General features: G+C 37.6%; 1 protein-coding gene across 11 annotated transcripts in view; it reads left to right on the top strand.

The window, feature by feature from the left end:
- The window catches only part of ARHGAP15 (Rho GTPase activating protein 15), a 638934-nt gene that overhangs the window by 437460 nt on the left and 183936 nt on the right, over window positions 1-17538 (top strand). The window contains exon 11 of one of the 11 annotated variants that reach the window (XM_047445113.1): window positions 17229-17257. The exons of the other annotated variants lie outside the window; for them this stretch is intronic. Coding sequence (XP_047301069.1) covers window positions 17229-17242 — 14 coding nt within the window. The 3' untranslated portion in view covers window positions 17243-17257. Of the gene's footprint in view, window positions 1-17228; window positions 17258-17538 lie in introns of those variants that run through there. 11 annotated transcript variants of the gene reach the window in all.

Consider the following 17538-nt stretch of genomic DNA (forward strand, 5'->3'; position numbering starts at 1 on the left):
CTGCCTTGCTGCTGCTTTTTTTTTTTTGAGACAGAGTCTCGCTCTGTCGCCCAGTGCCACGATCTCGGTTCACTGCAAGCTCTGCCTCCCGGGTTCATGCCATTCTCCTGCCTCAGCCTCCCAAGTAGCTGGGACTACAGGTGCCCGCCACCACGCCTGGCTAATTTTTTGTATTTTTAGTAGAGAAGGGGTTTTGCCGTGTTAGCCAGGATGGTCTCGATCTCCTGACCTCGTGATCTGCCCCCCTCGGCCTCCCAAAGTGCTGGCATTACAGGGGTGAGCCACAGCGTGCTTCTTTATCTATCACCTCAGTGCTTGCCTTCCTCCTCCACACTGTGGCATCTATGTAAGCAAGACCTTCCCTGTCTTGGTCTCCTCAGTATCCCTAGCTCTTACTGTGCCTTCAAATAAAAGCTTTTTGGATTTGAATGAATCTAACAAACAAGTGCATTAATGAGTCATGTTGGGTCACCAGCAAAGGATAGGCTCTGATTGAAAAGCAGGCGTTAGCCCTCAGGACCACAACCCAGACCCAGGAAAACATACAGCCCCGAAAAGAATATCTTAAGAATTTGAGAGTTGCTTTCTAGTCAGTCCAGTGAAAGATGTTCCTCTTCCCAACCCTCACCTTCCACCTCCACCTGAAGTAACTGTCTTCCAACCCAACATGGAATACATTGGAAAGATTTGGGAAGAAGAGGAGGAAGCTGCCAGGCTTGGAAGATCAGAGCCAGCCCTGCCAGCCTTGTCCTTTAGGCCAAAAAAGACTGCCTAAGAAACAGAGGACCCCCAAACTCAGGTGATACTAAAGCCACATTTAGGGTCTTATGTGAATTATATGAATTTCCATAGTGTAATCCCTTTCAGTGAGGTGATTTGTTGCCAAGTCCCTGTCGGCCCCATATCTCGCTGTACCTCACCTTCCGTTTGCCAGAGAACACCTCTGGCTCAAATTACAAGTGGATGTCCTGGTCTTGCTATGGCTTCAGTGAAGTAACATAAACTGCAAAATAGAATAATCAGGAAAGGAGGGAAATTAGCTAAGGGTATAAAATAAGGCCTAAATGCTGGGAAAACTGGCTAGTCATATGTAGAAAGCTGAAACTGGATCCCTTCCTTACACCTTATACAAAAATTAATTCAAGATAGATTAAAGACTTACATGTTAGACTTAAAACCATAAAAACCCTAGAAGAAAAACTAGGCAATACCATTCAGGACATAGGCATGGGCAAGGACTTCATGACTAAAACACCAAAAGCAATGGCAACAAAAGCCAAAATTGACAAATGGGATCTAATTAAACTAAAGAGCTTCTGCACAGCAAAAGAAACTACCATCAGAGTGAACAGGCAACCTACAGAATGGGAGAAAATTTTTGCAATCTACCCATCTGACAAAGGGCTAATATCCAGAATCTACAAAGAACTTAAACAAATTTACAAGAAAAAAACCCCATCAAAAAGTGGGCAAAGGATATGAACAGACACTTCTCAAAAGAAGACATTCATGTAGCCAACAGACATATGAAAAAATGCTCATCATCACTGGTCATCAGAGAAATGCAAATAAAAACCACAATGAGATACCATCTCACACCAGTTAGAATGGCGATCATTAAAAAGTCAGGAAACAACAGATGTGGAGAGGATGTGGAGAAATAGGAACGTTTTTACACTGTTGGTGGTAGTGTAAACTAGTTCAGCCATTGTGGAAGACAGTGTGGCGATTCCTCAAGGATCTAGAACTAGAAATACCATTTGACCCAGTGATCCCATTACTGGATATATACCCAAAGAATTATAAATCATGTTACTATAAAGACACATGCACACATATGTTTATTGCAGCACTATTCACAATAGCAAAGACTTGGAACCAAGCCAGATGTCCATCATTAGTAGACTGGATTAAGAAAATGTGGCACATATACACCATGGAATACTATGCAGCCATAAAAAAGGATGAATTCATGTCCTTTGCAGGGACATGGATGAAACTGGAAACTATCATTCTGAGCAAACTATCACAAGGACAGAAAATGAAACACCACATGTTCTCACTCATAGGTGGGAATTGAACAATGAGAACACTTGGTCACAGGGTAGGGAACATCACACACCAGGGCCTGTCATAGGATGGGGGGCAGGGGGAGGGATAGCACTGGGAGAAATACCTAATGTAAATGACAGGTTGATGGGTGCAGTGAGCCAGCATGGCACATGTATACTTATGTAACAAGCCTGCACGTTGTGCACATGTACCCTAGAACTTAAAGTATAATAATTTAAACAAAAAAAAAGCCTAAAATATTGGCCTAAATGAAGACTTCAAATGGGGATTTATTCATTCAAAAATATTTCTTGAAAACCTTTTATGAACCAGGATCTCTTCTGGAAAATCAGGCTCTGGTGGATCATCCATTTTGGTGTCAAGAGATACATAATAAATACACAAGATAATTTCAGATGATATCAGAAATTATAATCAAGATCGTGATGTAATAGAGAAGAACAGATGGAGACGGGTGAGGTGGCCCTTGATTAGATGACCTGAGAAGGTCTCTTTGAGGAGGAGACATTTGAATAGACACTTGACCTGATAGGAAGCAGGGAGGCATGGAGAGATGTGGGGGGAGTGCAAAGCAGGGAAACTGGTTCTGGGGAATGAGGGCTTCTGTGAGATCAGGACACACAGAAGGCCAGAGGGATGGGCAAAGCCAGGCCAGGTAGGCCTTGCCAATCAAGATTAGAAGCTTGGCTTTTATTCTAAGCTCAGTGGAATGTCAGTGGGGTGTAGGGCAGCAGTAAGCAGAAAATTAGCTGAACCTATTTATTTATTTGTTTTTAAATTATTCCACTGGCTAAGAGAAGAATGAATTGTAGGGGGAAAGAGTACATACAGGGGACAAATTAGAAGGTTGTTACAGTAGCACAGTCAAGCTATAATAGTGGTGGCTGATTTGTATGAGGGAATACTTCATATTCTATTTGTCTTATTTTCCATATGCCTTTTAAACCATTTCCTTTAAGCAATAAAGTGTAGAGAGAAGAGTGGCCCAGGAGTTAGAAAGCCTAGGTCAATTTTCATGTCACCTCTTAATAATTGTGTTGTCTTGCCCAAGTCATTTAACCTCCCCAGGTCAATTTTATTATCTTTAAAGCAAGAATATATTTTCTTTTAAGATGAGTCAATCCCATGAGATAATGAACCTGTTACAATGGAAATTGCTACACCATATGGAAGTTATATCTAAATGTGTCCCTTACAACCATCCTAATGAAGTAATCTATTGTAATATAATGAAGTATAACATTTTTTAAAGGAAAGAATATTTTATAAAGAAAGGGCTTATCTCAAGTTCTTCTTGGATTATTTAAATGTCACTCAAATTTTCCCTGGAACCTCCCCCCAAACCACAAGAATCACTCCTCATTTTAAATCCTATGTTTACAACTTCAACTACTCAATTTACAATAACCTCATATTGTGTATAATGTTATATATCACTAGTGAAAATCACATGCTTATATCTTATCTACTCAACACACTAAACATTTCTTAAGGGCAGAGTTCATATCTTTTAAACCTGTCTCTCCTACTTTACCCAGAAGAATATTTTGCAGCTGATAGAAGCACTACACATTTTAATTTATTGATTGATTCCATCCAGAGTTGGACCATTTTTTTATTAAAGAAGGTGAGGAATTTGGCACATGCTGGAGATCAGTCTCAAAGTGAACAATTTTTCACTGTGTACTATTGAACTCAGTTCCAAAAACAATAGCAAGAAATACATAAAATGTTAGCATTAGGTATTGGTGATTTTTATTGTCTTCGTTTTTCAAAATACCTTCCCAATTTCCTGCAATTTACACATTATTTCTTTTGAAAACAAATATTGAAGAAAAGAGAAGATATGTCTTGTTTCAAACAGGTCAATCCTTTTTTTTAACAGAATAGAATTTACAGAACATACCAACAGAACCAAGAGAATGTCAGTACTTGAGTTCTCTAAAGCAGGGGTTTCCAGCCCCCCAGCCAGGGGCCAGTACCAGTCCATGGCTTGTTAGGAACCTGGCAGCACAGTAGGAGGTGAGTGGCAGGTGAGAGAGCATTACCCCCTGAGCTCCACCTCTTGTCAGATTAGCAGTGGCATTAATTTCTCATAGGAGTACAAACCCTATTGCAAACTGCACATGGGAGGGATCTAGGTTGCATGCTCCTTATGAGAATCTAATGCCTAATGATCTGTCACTGTCTCCCATAACCCCCAAATGGGACTGTTTATTTGCAGGAAAAAAAGCTTGAGGTTCCCATTGATTCTACATTATGGTGAGCATGTAACAATAATAGAAATAAGGTGTACAATAAATGTAATGTGCTTGAATCATCCTGAAACCATACTCTTCCCCTTACAATCTGTGAAAAAATTGTCTTCCACGAAACTGGTCCCTGGTGCCAAAATGGCTGGGGACCACTGCTCTAAAGCACTTGAAATGCTATTACACTAAATCTTTGTAAGAAAGCTACCCACTTTATAGATGAACTAAAGTCTCTATGAATTTGAATGAGTTGCTAAGAGTTGCATTTCTTCATTCAGCTGAGATTTGGAGAAGGCATTATGTGTTTCCTGGTAATTTAGAGAGAAGGTGACATGAAATCCCAGCCACAGTCTCCTAACATCCATGGGATTCTAAAAAGCCCATGGAATAATTCCCTTTAAATAGCAGCAGGTATTGGTGGCATCTGCATTTCTTGCTGTTTCACCATCTCCTCATCCTTTCTACTTCTCCAGATTGTTTGTCTTTTTGTGGTCTCCTCACTCTCTGGCTACATTTTTCCTGAGCAAGTACCCCACTCCCTCTTCTTGTTAGTCTATTACTTTCATGTCTGGCAGCCATAAGGGGTTCACTCACCATTATCTGCTTAGGATGTTGGAATTCAATATCCCATCAGTCCTGGGGGCTGGAGTATGTATGCGTATTATTATTTGATAGGTCCCAGCAGAACAGTCTTTCAGAGCAAGATGCACATCATCAGTGGTTTTGCTGATGGATGAGCTCACCTCCTTGACACAGATCTCATGATTCTTGGCATAAATCTCAACAGGAATTAGCTGCTTCTTCCACTGTGTTCCCATAGCATGTTGTCCCTGTGTTTCAGTACTGGTTTTAGTCTATTTCATATGCCACTTCTCTCCCTTTCATGACTGTTAGATGCTGGAGACTGAGCTATTTTTCAGTTTCCTCTGGATTCCTCCCTATGCCCATCATGTGCCATCTGCATTGTAGGCTTTCAGCAAAGCTGTGCCTGCCAGATCCTCTTATTTCTGGGTGCCAAAATACTCAGCATTACACTTCTACCTCACAAAGATCTACCTGGCTTAAAATCATCACCCACCTGTGTGTGCCTTTGGAGCCTTCATTTCACCCCTGTCCTCACCCCTGACACCTGTAAGACACTGAGTCTTACTGAGCCCACTTTCTCCATAGTCATACTCTATGCACACAGCCATCTTCCCCATTCCTCTCTCCCTCTCCCTTTCCCTTGCCCTGTTCTCAGCGTTATCATCCCCATCTCTCAAGAGTCCACTCAGACTTTCTAAGGTGATCATTTGTTCATCTGAGCACAGTAGGTCATGCTTCCTGCTACTCCTGGGAATATAAGGTAAGAGACGTCATATAATCAGGTAAATAGTGAGGATTTCCAGTCTCTACATAAGGTATTTTCAACAGTAGTGTTGACTCACCTCAAATCACACCACTTAGACAGCTATAAAGCCAGGCTTACCTGGAATTTTCTTTTTCTGACTCATGAAACTCTTGTCTCTGTCATATGTGTATTTTTACTTCTGAATTAATATAGCCATCCTGAATCCTAAATCCACGCGTGATTTCTGAGACCACTACTCTCACTGCTAATCTAGTTATGTAGGAATCCCTCCTAAATAAAAATTTTAAAAGATAAAACATACAACCAAAACACAAAGAGCCATATTGAGAACCATGCAAAGCACTTTAAAAGTGGTAAAAGATACTAGCTAGATAAATTCAAATCTCTAGATTACAAAAATGGAAATTCATAAATTAAAAAAATACCTCTAGATACCTTTATATTTGTTTCTTTATTCCATCTTGTGTGTTTATAGAAGAAACAATATTCAGGTACTTTTCATTTTACTGGGATGAGAAATGGAAATGCTAACTACAGTGCAGCTTCATGACTCAAAAGTCTGTAACTGGTATTAATGAACTTTTAAAATGCTAATTTTAATGCTTACTCCAACAGAAAGATGCCTTAAAGCAAAACTTCACATTTCTTATCTGCTAAAAGCAATGTGTTTTGCATCCCTTACAAAATAAAATGGTTGAAATAAGGTTTTTAAAGGGCTTAAAGTTTCAAGGACTTCTCTTGTTCTTCTAGAGAAAAGAAATTTATAAAATCACATCCATTAATGGTCCCTCTGCTAGAAAACGAAAATACTCCCAAATATGTTCCACTCTAGGAAAATCAAAAATAACATGTAAACTACAAATATGTTAGCCAATTCAGAATATTTATTAACTAAATAATTTAATAATAAAGAAAATGCCGACTTGATTAATTGTTACAGAGTAAAAATTACAATAAAACTGTCTTGATCAGTGCTTTGCAGAAGCGCCATTACTGTCTGTGCAGTTGTTTAACAAGGATTTAATTGGAAAGATAAGTGAATGCACATTTAAAAGTATTGTTAATTTGCTTTATAATCACCCCATCCTTCACAGTATTGACAGCACAAGGCACAAACCCCTTTCTGTTTTACAAGTATTATTTTCCATATGTGCACAATAAATTCTGAAGCAGTAATTGGAAATTTTATGGGATCCAGTATACCTAGTATAGTGGGTTTGGAGGTGCACTCTTCCTTTACAAGAGGTAACCCAGTTCTAGTTGTTGGAAACGAGTGACAAATCTTTGATGTATATATTTCCCCTATCCATGTTTGTTCAGGTTCATATTTGGTCCATTTCTAGAAAAGGTTGCCTCTCTTATATTTTATGTCTAATAAAATCAAGATTGAGAGGAGAAAAAAATATGAATTATTTTTAGTCTGTGACTATTTGTATTACTTTCTTGAAAATGTGCATTATCAGTGGAGGTTCTAACCAAGGATGGTTTCTAGACTGTAGCCAAACGAAATCACCTGTATCTGAAAATAGTGGTACCTGAACCTATTAAAGGAGACAAGAGAAGGGGCAAAGAACATCTATGATTGATCTCTACCTCTGCAGCCACACTGACACTCACTCACACACATCCCTTAGAGTTTGGAATCATCTCGTCAAAAATCTAATCAGTGTGGTTTGCAAAACAACATGAGTGTAATGCCTCAGATTTCTAAGAGGTGGCAACCTTGACTACCCAAGTTTCCAATATACAAAGCCCAAAGACCTTCCTTATTGTAGAAAGAGCCTAAAGCTACTTTGGAAGCAGGTCATTTGCTCATTTCAAATGGGTAGAGAATGTTAGAGTGCCTTGTTTATTGGCTGATTCTCAAGGAGCCACAGTCTTTAGGATTTATTTCAAAAGATAAAAGAGCCTAAAACTTAAAGTATAATAATAATAAAATTAAAAAATAATAATAAAAAAGATGAAAATATGAGCGTCTTCTTGAAAATGGGGAACTGTTCATTAAACCTATTTTGAAGGCAACAGTTGTTCGAATCCTCTCTATTGATAAAGGCTGCCCACTTGGTTATGACGAGCAGGGAGTGTCCCCAAAGTGTCTCATGCCAGTGGCAGTAAAAGCATGAAAAAATATAGGGAACATGCTAAATAGCCTCTTGGCCATGCCCCCATTAGCTAGAATTGGTAGAAATATCTTTAGGTTTGGTTAACTATAGATTTATTTTTTTCCTGTAGACAGCAAACACTTCAACTATAAAAGCTTAGAAATGTCTTCTGAGGAAAATTTTCGTTAGAATCCTTTGCAGTGTAAACCTCTTTGCCCTCTGGATAAAATGTGTTACCTTACGTATTGTCATGGGAACAATTATTTTTATCTTTAGTTTGGCTATGCCTCTAAATCTCTAAACTTCTCACATTTACATTAGTTTTTTATGCTTACAGAGTAAAATAGATACACATATTGAGTTTCACATGTCTAGAGATTTTCCAATACATGCTAATATCCGATCACTAATACCAACTCGCAAATCACATAAATCTATTTCTTCATTCTGACATGTATATATATTTCTCTAGTGAAAATTCTTACCTTGCTGAGTTTCACTCTCCCTATATGTGTAAGTACTTGTGTGTTGTAAAAACTGTGCGCAGACACACATATGTGTACACTTTAAAGATTACTTTTACTACTTTTTCAAATTTCTCCATTGGAGGCATGGATTTTAAAACTGTTTATCTCTGGTGAAAATGTCTTTGGGACCAAGACCTTTATATGCCCCATTTCAACTAGACAGAGCTGAGACTGGTGCAATAATGAAACGTCCAGCTGTCCTTTAATTAACTAAAATGAGGAAAATGTAATGTTTTGATGAGAGAACCAGGATTCTGTGAGGGATAAGGGGAAGACTATATGTTTCTGCGCCTTCCTGCATATGACACAGCCATGGGGTGCAGGAAAGAGAGGAGGCATTTTTATGCCCCAGTAGGGGGAGCTTTCTTTTCCCTACTGTAAGGACAGCATGGTGCATGTGTTTAAATACACCATCCTAAAATGCAGACTTTTCATTTTCATTTTGCAAGTGGGAAATTTCACTATGTGATGGGCACATTACTCTTCTTAGCGACACATTTTGTGCAAACTCATTTGGGAAAGAATAGGAAATTTAAAATACTGCCTTCATATTTCTTCTGGAAATGTTAGCCTGAATCCATTATTTCCAAACCTGATGAGGATTACAGTTCATTTGTATTTCACAGCAACCCATATTGTATTCTGTTTTGTGAAGTAAATAAGAGATGATACCGTTCTAATAGTGCCTGTATTTTGCTTTCCATGTTAATAGTCTTATTCTGGGGGCAAAAGGGAAGGAAAAAGGCAGAGAGTGGAATACTCAATTTAGCCTTCTCTAGATGGAAGGAATGTGTTATTCTGACAAAGAAGTGCCCTGAATTATTTTATAAATAATCTAAACCGGAGGAGGTGGAACACAAACTCACTTAGGTCACTGAGTATATCCATATTCAAATGATATTATAAAAAGCACTGTTCATTAACACCCAAATCTCTATCTCTTATTTAACTACGTTTAAAATACTCATGGACTAACCTGATTTGACAGCAGTGTAGGTGGATGCTTATGTGCCACTGAAGGGAATTCTTTACAAAATAATTTCCCACCAGCATTTCACTGTGCCTGAGATGCCACAATTTGAAAATCAATTCATTGGCTGAGGCAGGAAAGACAAATAATTTCACCTCTTATACTAAATACAGTTGTTTCTTGGTGACTGACCAGATGGTTGTGTTAAGAAGGATACTGAAACATTGTCCTAAATAAGTGGGAAAGAGTTCTGTGATCCATCCATAATGGATCACATTAATAATGTATGGCACAGATATTATTTAAAAAGAAAAAACCAAGTGCCTGAATATGCACACCATGCACTTTATGTTTCCGGTTTAAGATATTGGATTAAGAAAAAATTGACTGTTATACAAATAACATCTGAGTCTTACACTCTATCGACGTAATCATGAACACAAATCTTTTAATCTGGTAGGACATCATATAACCTAGCATACCTTTAATGGAATACAGCAAAGAACAGGAAATATCAGAAGAATCAGAAGAAGGGAGGATTATATGATAAAGAAAAAAGAACTCTGGGAGTTGAGTTAGATTAAAAAGTCACATTTTACTTAACAATTTTACCACCTCTTTTTCACCCACTGACTAAATTTCTTTCTGATATAAAGTATGACTAAACTATTTTGGTTGACTCTAGTTCATAGATTGAGGTTATTTCTATTGGAATGAAAGGAAGTCCAAAGTAATCCTCCATTGAAGAAATGTCCCAGCCCAATTAATGATTTTAGCTGATGACCATATAGACTATCTTTCTGTCTACAAAGCTGTCATCAAACTATAGCTAAAACTAATCCTCCTAATTGCAAATCACTTGAAAATAAAAGCAAATCACTTGAAAGAGAGAACATCTACAATGGAATGTATAAGTAAAGTCTTCCCACTTTACCTTCACTTACTTTGGGCTCAGGTTGGTGAGATTTATTTTCATTAAGACAAATTCTTAGGCCCTGAAAAAATAGATGAAACCTACCATCTGCACCACATTTCAATATTTGACTTAAGTCATCTGTTGACTTTGAACACACTCGTGTACCATTCCTCATACGAGCTAAAATGTAATCCCCTTCACTGGGGACTGTAAAGAAATGTTGACTTTCGATTTCTTTACATATTTGATCTTTCAAGATATGAGAATGCTGCAGCTGGAAAACTCAGCACCATTAGGGAAACAAAGCAGAAAATAAAACATACAAGTGAATCAGTTAGGACTCTTCTGATTTTAAGGGACAAAAACCAAAGGATTTTTTTCCTTTATGTAACTGGAAAAATCAGGAAATGATGCAGCTTCAAGCATAACTAAATTCTGAAGCTTAAACAGAATCGTAAGGCCTAACCTCTCTCGGTCTCTCAGCTCTGCTCTCCTCCCCATTAGCTTCATACTCAGGCTTTGCATGGTTGTAAAATGACCACCAGCAGTTCTGGATCAACATGATCCCTGCTTCTAGTCCCTCAGGAAGCTCCTTTCCCAAAGCACCTGACTATTATTAACCAAAATTGTGTCATTAACTCATCCCTGAATCACTCACTGTGGCTAAGGAAATAGAATGGGCTGATTGGCTTAGAACAAGGTAACAAGCCCCCTACATGGAGGTAGAGGGAGATTCCCATCCAGAATTCAGGAACTGCAGTATAAGGAGGGGGATACTCCCCAGAGGAAACCTGGTGCACTATGTTCAGAAATAAGATGCTCTCTACAACGAGTAAGTGAATTTTTACAGTTAAGACAAAAAATGCCAGACTGTACAGATAGAAGAGATGTCAAATGTCACTCAGGCAATTCTCTTACTTGCAAGCAGTCTTTGAACGTGCTTAAAACTCTTTAGATAAATTAATTTTGCAGAGTTTTGGGAACTTTTTAAAAATATTCAGTAATTGCTTTGGGAGCTGATGTACATAAACCTCACAGCAATTGATTGGTTCAGGAAAGGGGTAATCATGTCCAAGTTACGTTGGTTTGCTAGCTCAGGTATAAGTGTGGACCCTCATATGTCCTGAGTATTTCATTTATACATAATCTTTGAAATGTTTTAGGAGCAAAAACCACATGCTTTCAAGGTCTTTTAGGCAACCAACATTGAAAAGAAAAAAAACTATCATTAAAGCTAAGCACATGTTGTCATTCAAGTACCAAGATATTTAATAGAAAATTACAACATGGAGTATGAAAGATGAGAGATTTAACTTTCAACAGGCAAAGGTAAATATTGAGAGGGCCAGAATAATGATGTGGAATTATGTAGATGAAAATCTTGCCAAGACCTGATAGCAAATACAATCCAGCAAAGGGCCAGGGAGAGTAATGTTGAAATCTTTGATGACTCTAGGCCATCTAGAAAGCGCCAATGGCGCTCTATACATTTTTAAAAAAGGTGGGGGGGTAGTTTTTTGGTTGATAATTTTGGTCATTTTTAGTGGTATCCCTGTGCAGAAGAAGATGCTTTTATTCAATAAGAGAAAACTGTTTACTGTTTTTGTTGTATCAGGGACACATGACAAAGCATTCAAATATGCAAATAATTGCAAACTGATGTATCCAGCAGTTTAAAAATTGAATAAATAATTTAGTTTTTACGCATGGGCAACTCTTGCTAAAAAAACTACAAATCAGAACTCTTCTGTTTGAATCTATTTTATTTTGTTAATAGATGAGCTAATATGATAGGCATTTAATTGTATAATATATTATTAGCCATTTTCTTTGGCATACCATTAACTTTAAATAGTATTAATATTTAACATTTCATAATATACACTACAAAGTTCTTATTTTTTCCAGCTGAACAGAAAATGTACATTGATAGTAAATCTCTTTAAAGTGGGTTTTAAGATGCTAAGTATGCAAAACCTGTTCCATTTATACTGTTTGATCAGAAATACTCAAAATGCCACAGCATAATAAGGCAAATGCTGTAAGATGACAATGATGCCAAAACTGTATTATGATTGTGTATTCAAATACAATGTATCGCATAATTAAGCATAATTATATAATTTGAATATTTAAGAGAGCATTTAAAATGTGATAGGAAGCATCTAAGTACATCGACTTCTCAGGATGGTTAAATCAGAGAGTGTAAAGTTGCGATTAGTATTTGTTACTGAATGGAAAACTAATTCAAACACAAGTTTGCAAGGAGAACACTTGTAGCTGGCTCAAAATCATAGGCCCTAACTTTGTCTCATTACATTTGAATCTGTTTAAATTTGAGTACCATGTTTTTCTGTCCTTGCAAAACGTCATTTAGTTAGTTGAGGTGGGGCTCAGAGTTTCTAGGATAGTTGTAGGATGCCTAGGATAAATGATGCTCTTTGTTCCATGGATATCAATTGTGCCCTTCATTCAGACCAGCATTCTCAGATAGGTGTGCCCACGACCGTGAGGGGAGCTCGTCCAAAAAGAATAAAGGGAGCAACTCAAATGCATCCCTGTTTCCAGGAAGACTGCCCAGAGGCTATGCCCCACTTAGTATAAATCAGCCAGATCTTTTTGTCGAGGGAAGAATAGTGCTGATCATGCAACTTCCTAAGTAGAAGATGAAGCTTGATTTCTTATTAATAAATATTTGGGGGGTATAATTTTAAGTGGGCAAGAATTAAGATTCTGAACTTTTCCAGCACTCCCTGCACAGAGCTTTTTTTCTCCATTACCAGCACTGAAACATTTGTTTTATTTTTTTATTTTTATTTTTATTTATTTATTTAAGTTTTAGGGTACATGTGCACATTGTGCAGGTTAAAAGAACTTTTCTTCAGCTCTCAGTGTTCTTTCTTAATAAAACAAATGTTTCTTCAAAACATTTGTTTTATTAAGAAAGAACACTGAGAGCTGAAGAAAAGTTCTTTTTATTTCTAATTCTCCCTAAATTTTCAATGATGTGAACATAAGCCCAACAGACCAGGCTTATGGCATACTCTAAAATTGCAGTAGAAACTCGAACAATTTTTTCTACTTCATTTTATGTAATGGTGACTTAATTAGGGGCTAAAGACAGGTGAAAGAAGTTGTCCCAACAACGAGTATTTAATATGTCAATTTTTTCAGAGATTTGTGCCATTGCAAGTAAATAGGAAATGAAAAGACAAAATTTAACTAAAGATTTCCTGTATCTGTTAGTACCAAAGCCAGATAAATTTCTCCAGAGGTCAACATATTCTCCAGAAGCTGACCACATCCAATTATTTCCAGCCCACGCCCAACACGAATCTTATGCTCCTGCAGACAAATATAATTATTACAGGCAGAGAATGGTATGTTTATTTCCACCTCGATGACTTGCCGGTGACAACAGATTCTGTATTCTGGATCTCTTCTTTTCCCGAAATTCTCTTGCTTAGCCCATTTTTCAAAACTCCACTGAGGTTCCAAGTTCCTGTGATGAATTCAGCTCATTTTCTTACTCATCCTTCTTTTAGATGTATTTTTAAATTTTAATATGCGTTTTATCACAATTATTTTAATACCTTAAAATATTTAATATTTTAATACTTTAAAATATCCTAGTTTTTTGTTTTCTGTATCATTACAAATATATTGGTACATAATTCTAATTAATATATGTAATTTTCCCTTTATACTAATTCATGCACTTGTGCCTTGTCTTCCCAACCAAAACCATCTAGATCCTCATGGATAGGATCATATTTGACTTTTATATTTTTACCCTCAAGCTGTGCAAGAAAGTGCCTATAAATAATGGATGTTTAATAATGATGGTCTTAATGATAACTAATATATACTGAGCACTTCCTATGGGCTAGGTACTGTATGTGCTAAGTTTTGAACAGTAGTATCTTGTGATCATCACAATAATCCCACTTAGCAGGTTCTATTTTCATTCTCATTTTAAGCTAAAGGAACTGAGGTAGAATGTGATCAGTAACTTGACTGCAGGCACAGAATTGGTAACCAGCTTCACACAGGTATGCTTGAACACCGTCCATGTTTTCAGGCATACTCGATGGACTAATTAGCTCCACAAAAAGCCAGAAGATGCAAGTGCCAAGTGACATTTGTCTCAATATGCCATAAAGGTTAGAGAAGCTGCATTTTTTTTATAGTTTCACTTTACAGAGAACTGGGCTCATTGTGGCAAACAAGCAACTTGCTGTGCCAGCTGGTACATGGCTATGTGTCATTGCCCACACTGCAGTCACATCTTGGAGTGCCCTTCCACCCCACAGCCCCATAGCCCCACAGCCCCACACCCACCTACAAATCTCTTATTCATCCTTCAAAATCAAGCTAATATGTTATCACCTCTCTGAAACTGTCCTTAAATTTCCCAGGGAGAGGCAACCTCTCCTTCTCTCCTCTGGTTTTCCTTCATTTTATCCATGCATTTGCCATAGCATTTAGTACTGTATAATCATTTACCTTCTCACTTCGAGAGCTTGAATTCCCTAATAGCAAGTAGGGAGGGCTTGTTACCTTTACCTCTACTGCCTGGCAAAGGGATTAGTACAACAATGTAAATAAATAGGTCTTAAATGAGTTACAGGAAAAAAATGTAGGTTATACTTGGAATTAGCTGTCTCAACTCCGGAAATGGCACATTCTGTCGCTATTCTCCGGCATCTCCCCCAACTTCACATTCCCAGAATCTTTGGAAGAGCAAAAACTCTCATCTTCAAAGACAATTGCTTAAAATTTTCCAAGGATTGGAGCTTCTCTTTCACAATCATTTCATTGGTGGGGAGGGTAAAGGGAGGAAGGAAGAGGTCAGTTTCTTTTCCTGAATGACATTATCTCTAAAGACTCTGGAAAGTGATAAGTGCCATTTAGCACTCTTTTATTTCAAGTGTCTATGATGTGAAGAGTGTTTGCTTCTGCAGGCTGAGCAGCCCCATTGGAGTCTAATATTAGACGTGATATAAGATGTGCACATCTTTCACATTATGAGGCTTTATGTTTCAAACCCCCATACCTTGCCTCTGTGTATTTGACAGCTGCTGTCCTGCAAGGCAATGGCCAGTAAGAGGCATGATTGCACTAAATTGGAAGCATGAGGCAAAAGGGTGTGTTTTTATTAGGGGGGCAGGGAAGAAATTTGAGGGTAGTAGGTTAGAAGAAATCATCCACAGATGCTGATCTCTGTCGGTTAGTGGATGTGATTTCTGAATTGTGGTAATTCCTGTTTCTGTGACAGTTCATCAAAAATCGAGGGCACTACTTTTGAAAATTACCCATGGTTTCATTTCCAAACTAGATGCAGACTCTGTGCTTTTGATTATTAGAATTATTCAACTCACTCTGTGGGGCAATGAGGAGGGGCATTGATAAATCCTACCCCAACTGATACTCTGTAAGAGATTCGTTACAGAAGCATGAGGTGGCAGAGCAAACTCCATCACTTTTTAACAAGTGTTATCTAAACACACAGTGGCAACCGATGAGTGAGCCAAAGTGACAATTTGGAAATTCATTTCTCTCCTTCAGAAAGTCTGTGTGGGTTGGGAACAGTAGAACTAAAAGATGTGGAGACAAACTTTTTTCTACTTTTATTAAGCATTTCTAGATGAATTGTGAAAGGCAACTCAGCAGATGTCTACTGGCATCTCTCTTTCCCCAAAGACTTCTTTTAAAGTCATATAAAACACTTCTCATACCAGCTTGCCAATGGGTGAGGAGGAGACAATACTTCAAAAACTTTTCATGGTTAACACCAGATTGATAGTTCCTTTAGCAAAGCTAAATCTTGAAAGCTGTTTTTCTTTCATTCTACCAAGAACTGGCTCAGGTTGAGTCCCAGCTTTTCTTCAGGGATATGGGAACACTCAGATGGGAACTGTGTAGATGGAAGAAGTGTGGAAAGGGAGAGATGAGTGTACATTGGCTACGTCTAGTGCAGGGAAATCATTTCTCCACTGGTCTCACGTACAGCTGGCCACCCTCCTGATCTTGCTAAAGGGGCATATAAGTGCCATTGTTAAGAGATGGGGCTTAAAATGTAAGAGGAGTTTCAAGAGAAGTGAGCTGCAGATCCACATAGGAACATGTCAGGAATTATTTAAGTGGCCGGTAATATGAGTATCATGCTACCAACACTGAACAGTTTATCACATAAATATAATTGTCTTCTTTGAGAAGAATAATAAAAGCTGACTCCATATGTTACATATTATTTAAAATTGTTCCTGCAAGATGTATTAGTCCCAGAGAAGAAGCAATTCTTCTACCAGAGGACAACAGCAGTTTTATTGTATAACATTGTCATTTGTTTAATTTGTTTGTTCCCAGTAGTAGTTTTACAGATTTTTACGAACTGTTACTTTTATAGAAAGTTGAGTTACTCATGATGGATATTGCTGGCATTCGTAAAGACAAAAATGGGGGGGGTGGAAGAGGTCAGAAAGGTAGATGGTGTGGATTTCCCTAATGAAATTTGCTTAAGCCAATGCTTCTGAATTCTTAGAGAAACCAAAAATTACTGTAGGGAGTTAGGTTCTGTTTGGGACATTTCTAAGATTTTTGTGTGAGTTTATTTAAACATGATCAAGTTAAACTCAGTCTGGAAGACCTCTTGTGAACTGACAAACAACTACTTTTATTCAGAAATAATTGTGAGTAAATGGGAGTTCTCCGAGGTTTTATGTTTTTGTATTTGAACCAATTACCAAAGAATACTAATTTTATAGTTCAATGTCTACTACCAATTTTTAGGCATTTTATTGGTTAAGAAAACCAGTTTCCTCTGTCATTTCTCACAATTTCAACTAAACTTTACTTTTTAGCTAAATTAAGTGAAACTTTTCTAGGTAAATTTGGAAATTTTGGAATTTTAAAATGGAAACATTTTAGTTTGCATTCTCCTTTGACTGATAGATTTAATATATACCGAATGAGAAAATGCCACCCAAGAGTAACCATTCATGTTTTTTGAACTGTTAAAATGCATTCTATTGCAGTTTCACAACACTGAAAGCAAGTGTCTAAAATTACCGAAATAAAGCTGTCCCAACAGGGTAGATGAAAAACTGGCCAGATAATCAGCAGTAAAGACCAATCTTCTTTGATATCAAGGTATCTAGACATTCACAATTTGTTCATTTGTAGCATTCTGGCAGACTTAAAACTCTAGACGAGAATAGCCATGCTATTGCAATATAATCTGGATAATTAGAGCATTTAGAAATCCGACAATAGGCCATGTGCGGTGGCTCATGCCTGTAATATCAGCACTTTGGGAGGCCAAGGTGGGTGGATCACTTGAGGTTA

This window comes from Homo sapiens, chromosome 2 (genome assembly GCF_000001405.40).
Source record: "Homo sapiens chromosome 2, GRCh38.p14 Primary Assembly".
NCBI lineage: Eukaryota > Metazoa > Chordata > Mammalia > Primates > Hominidae > Homo > Homo sapiens.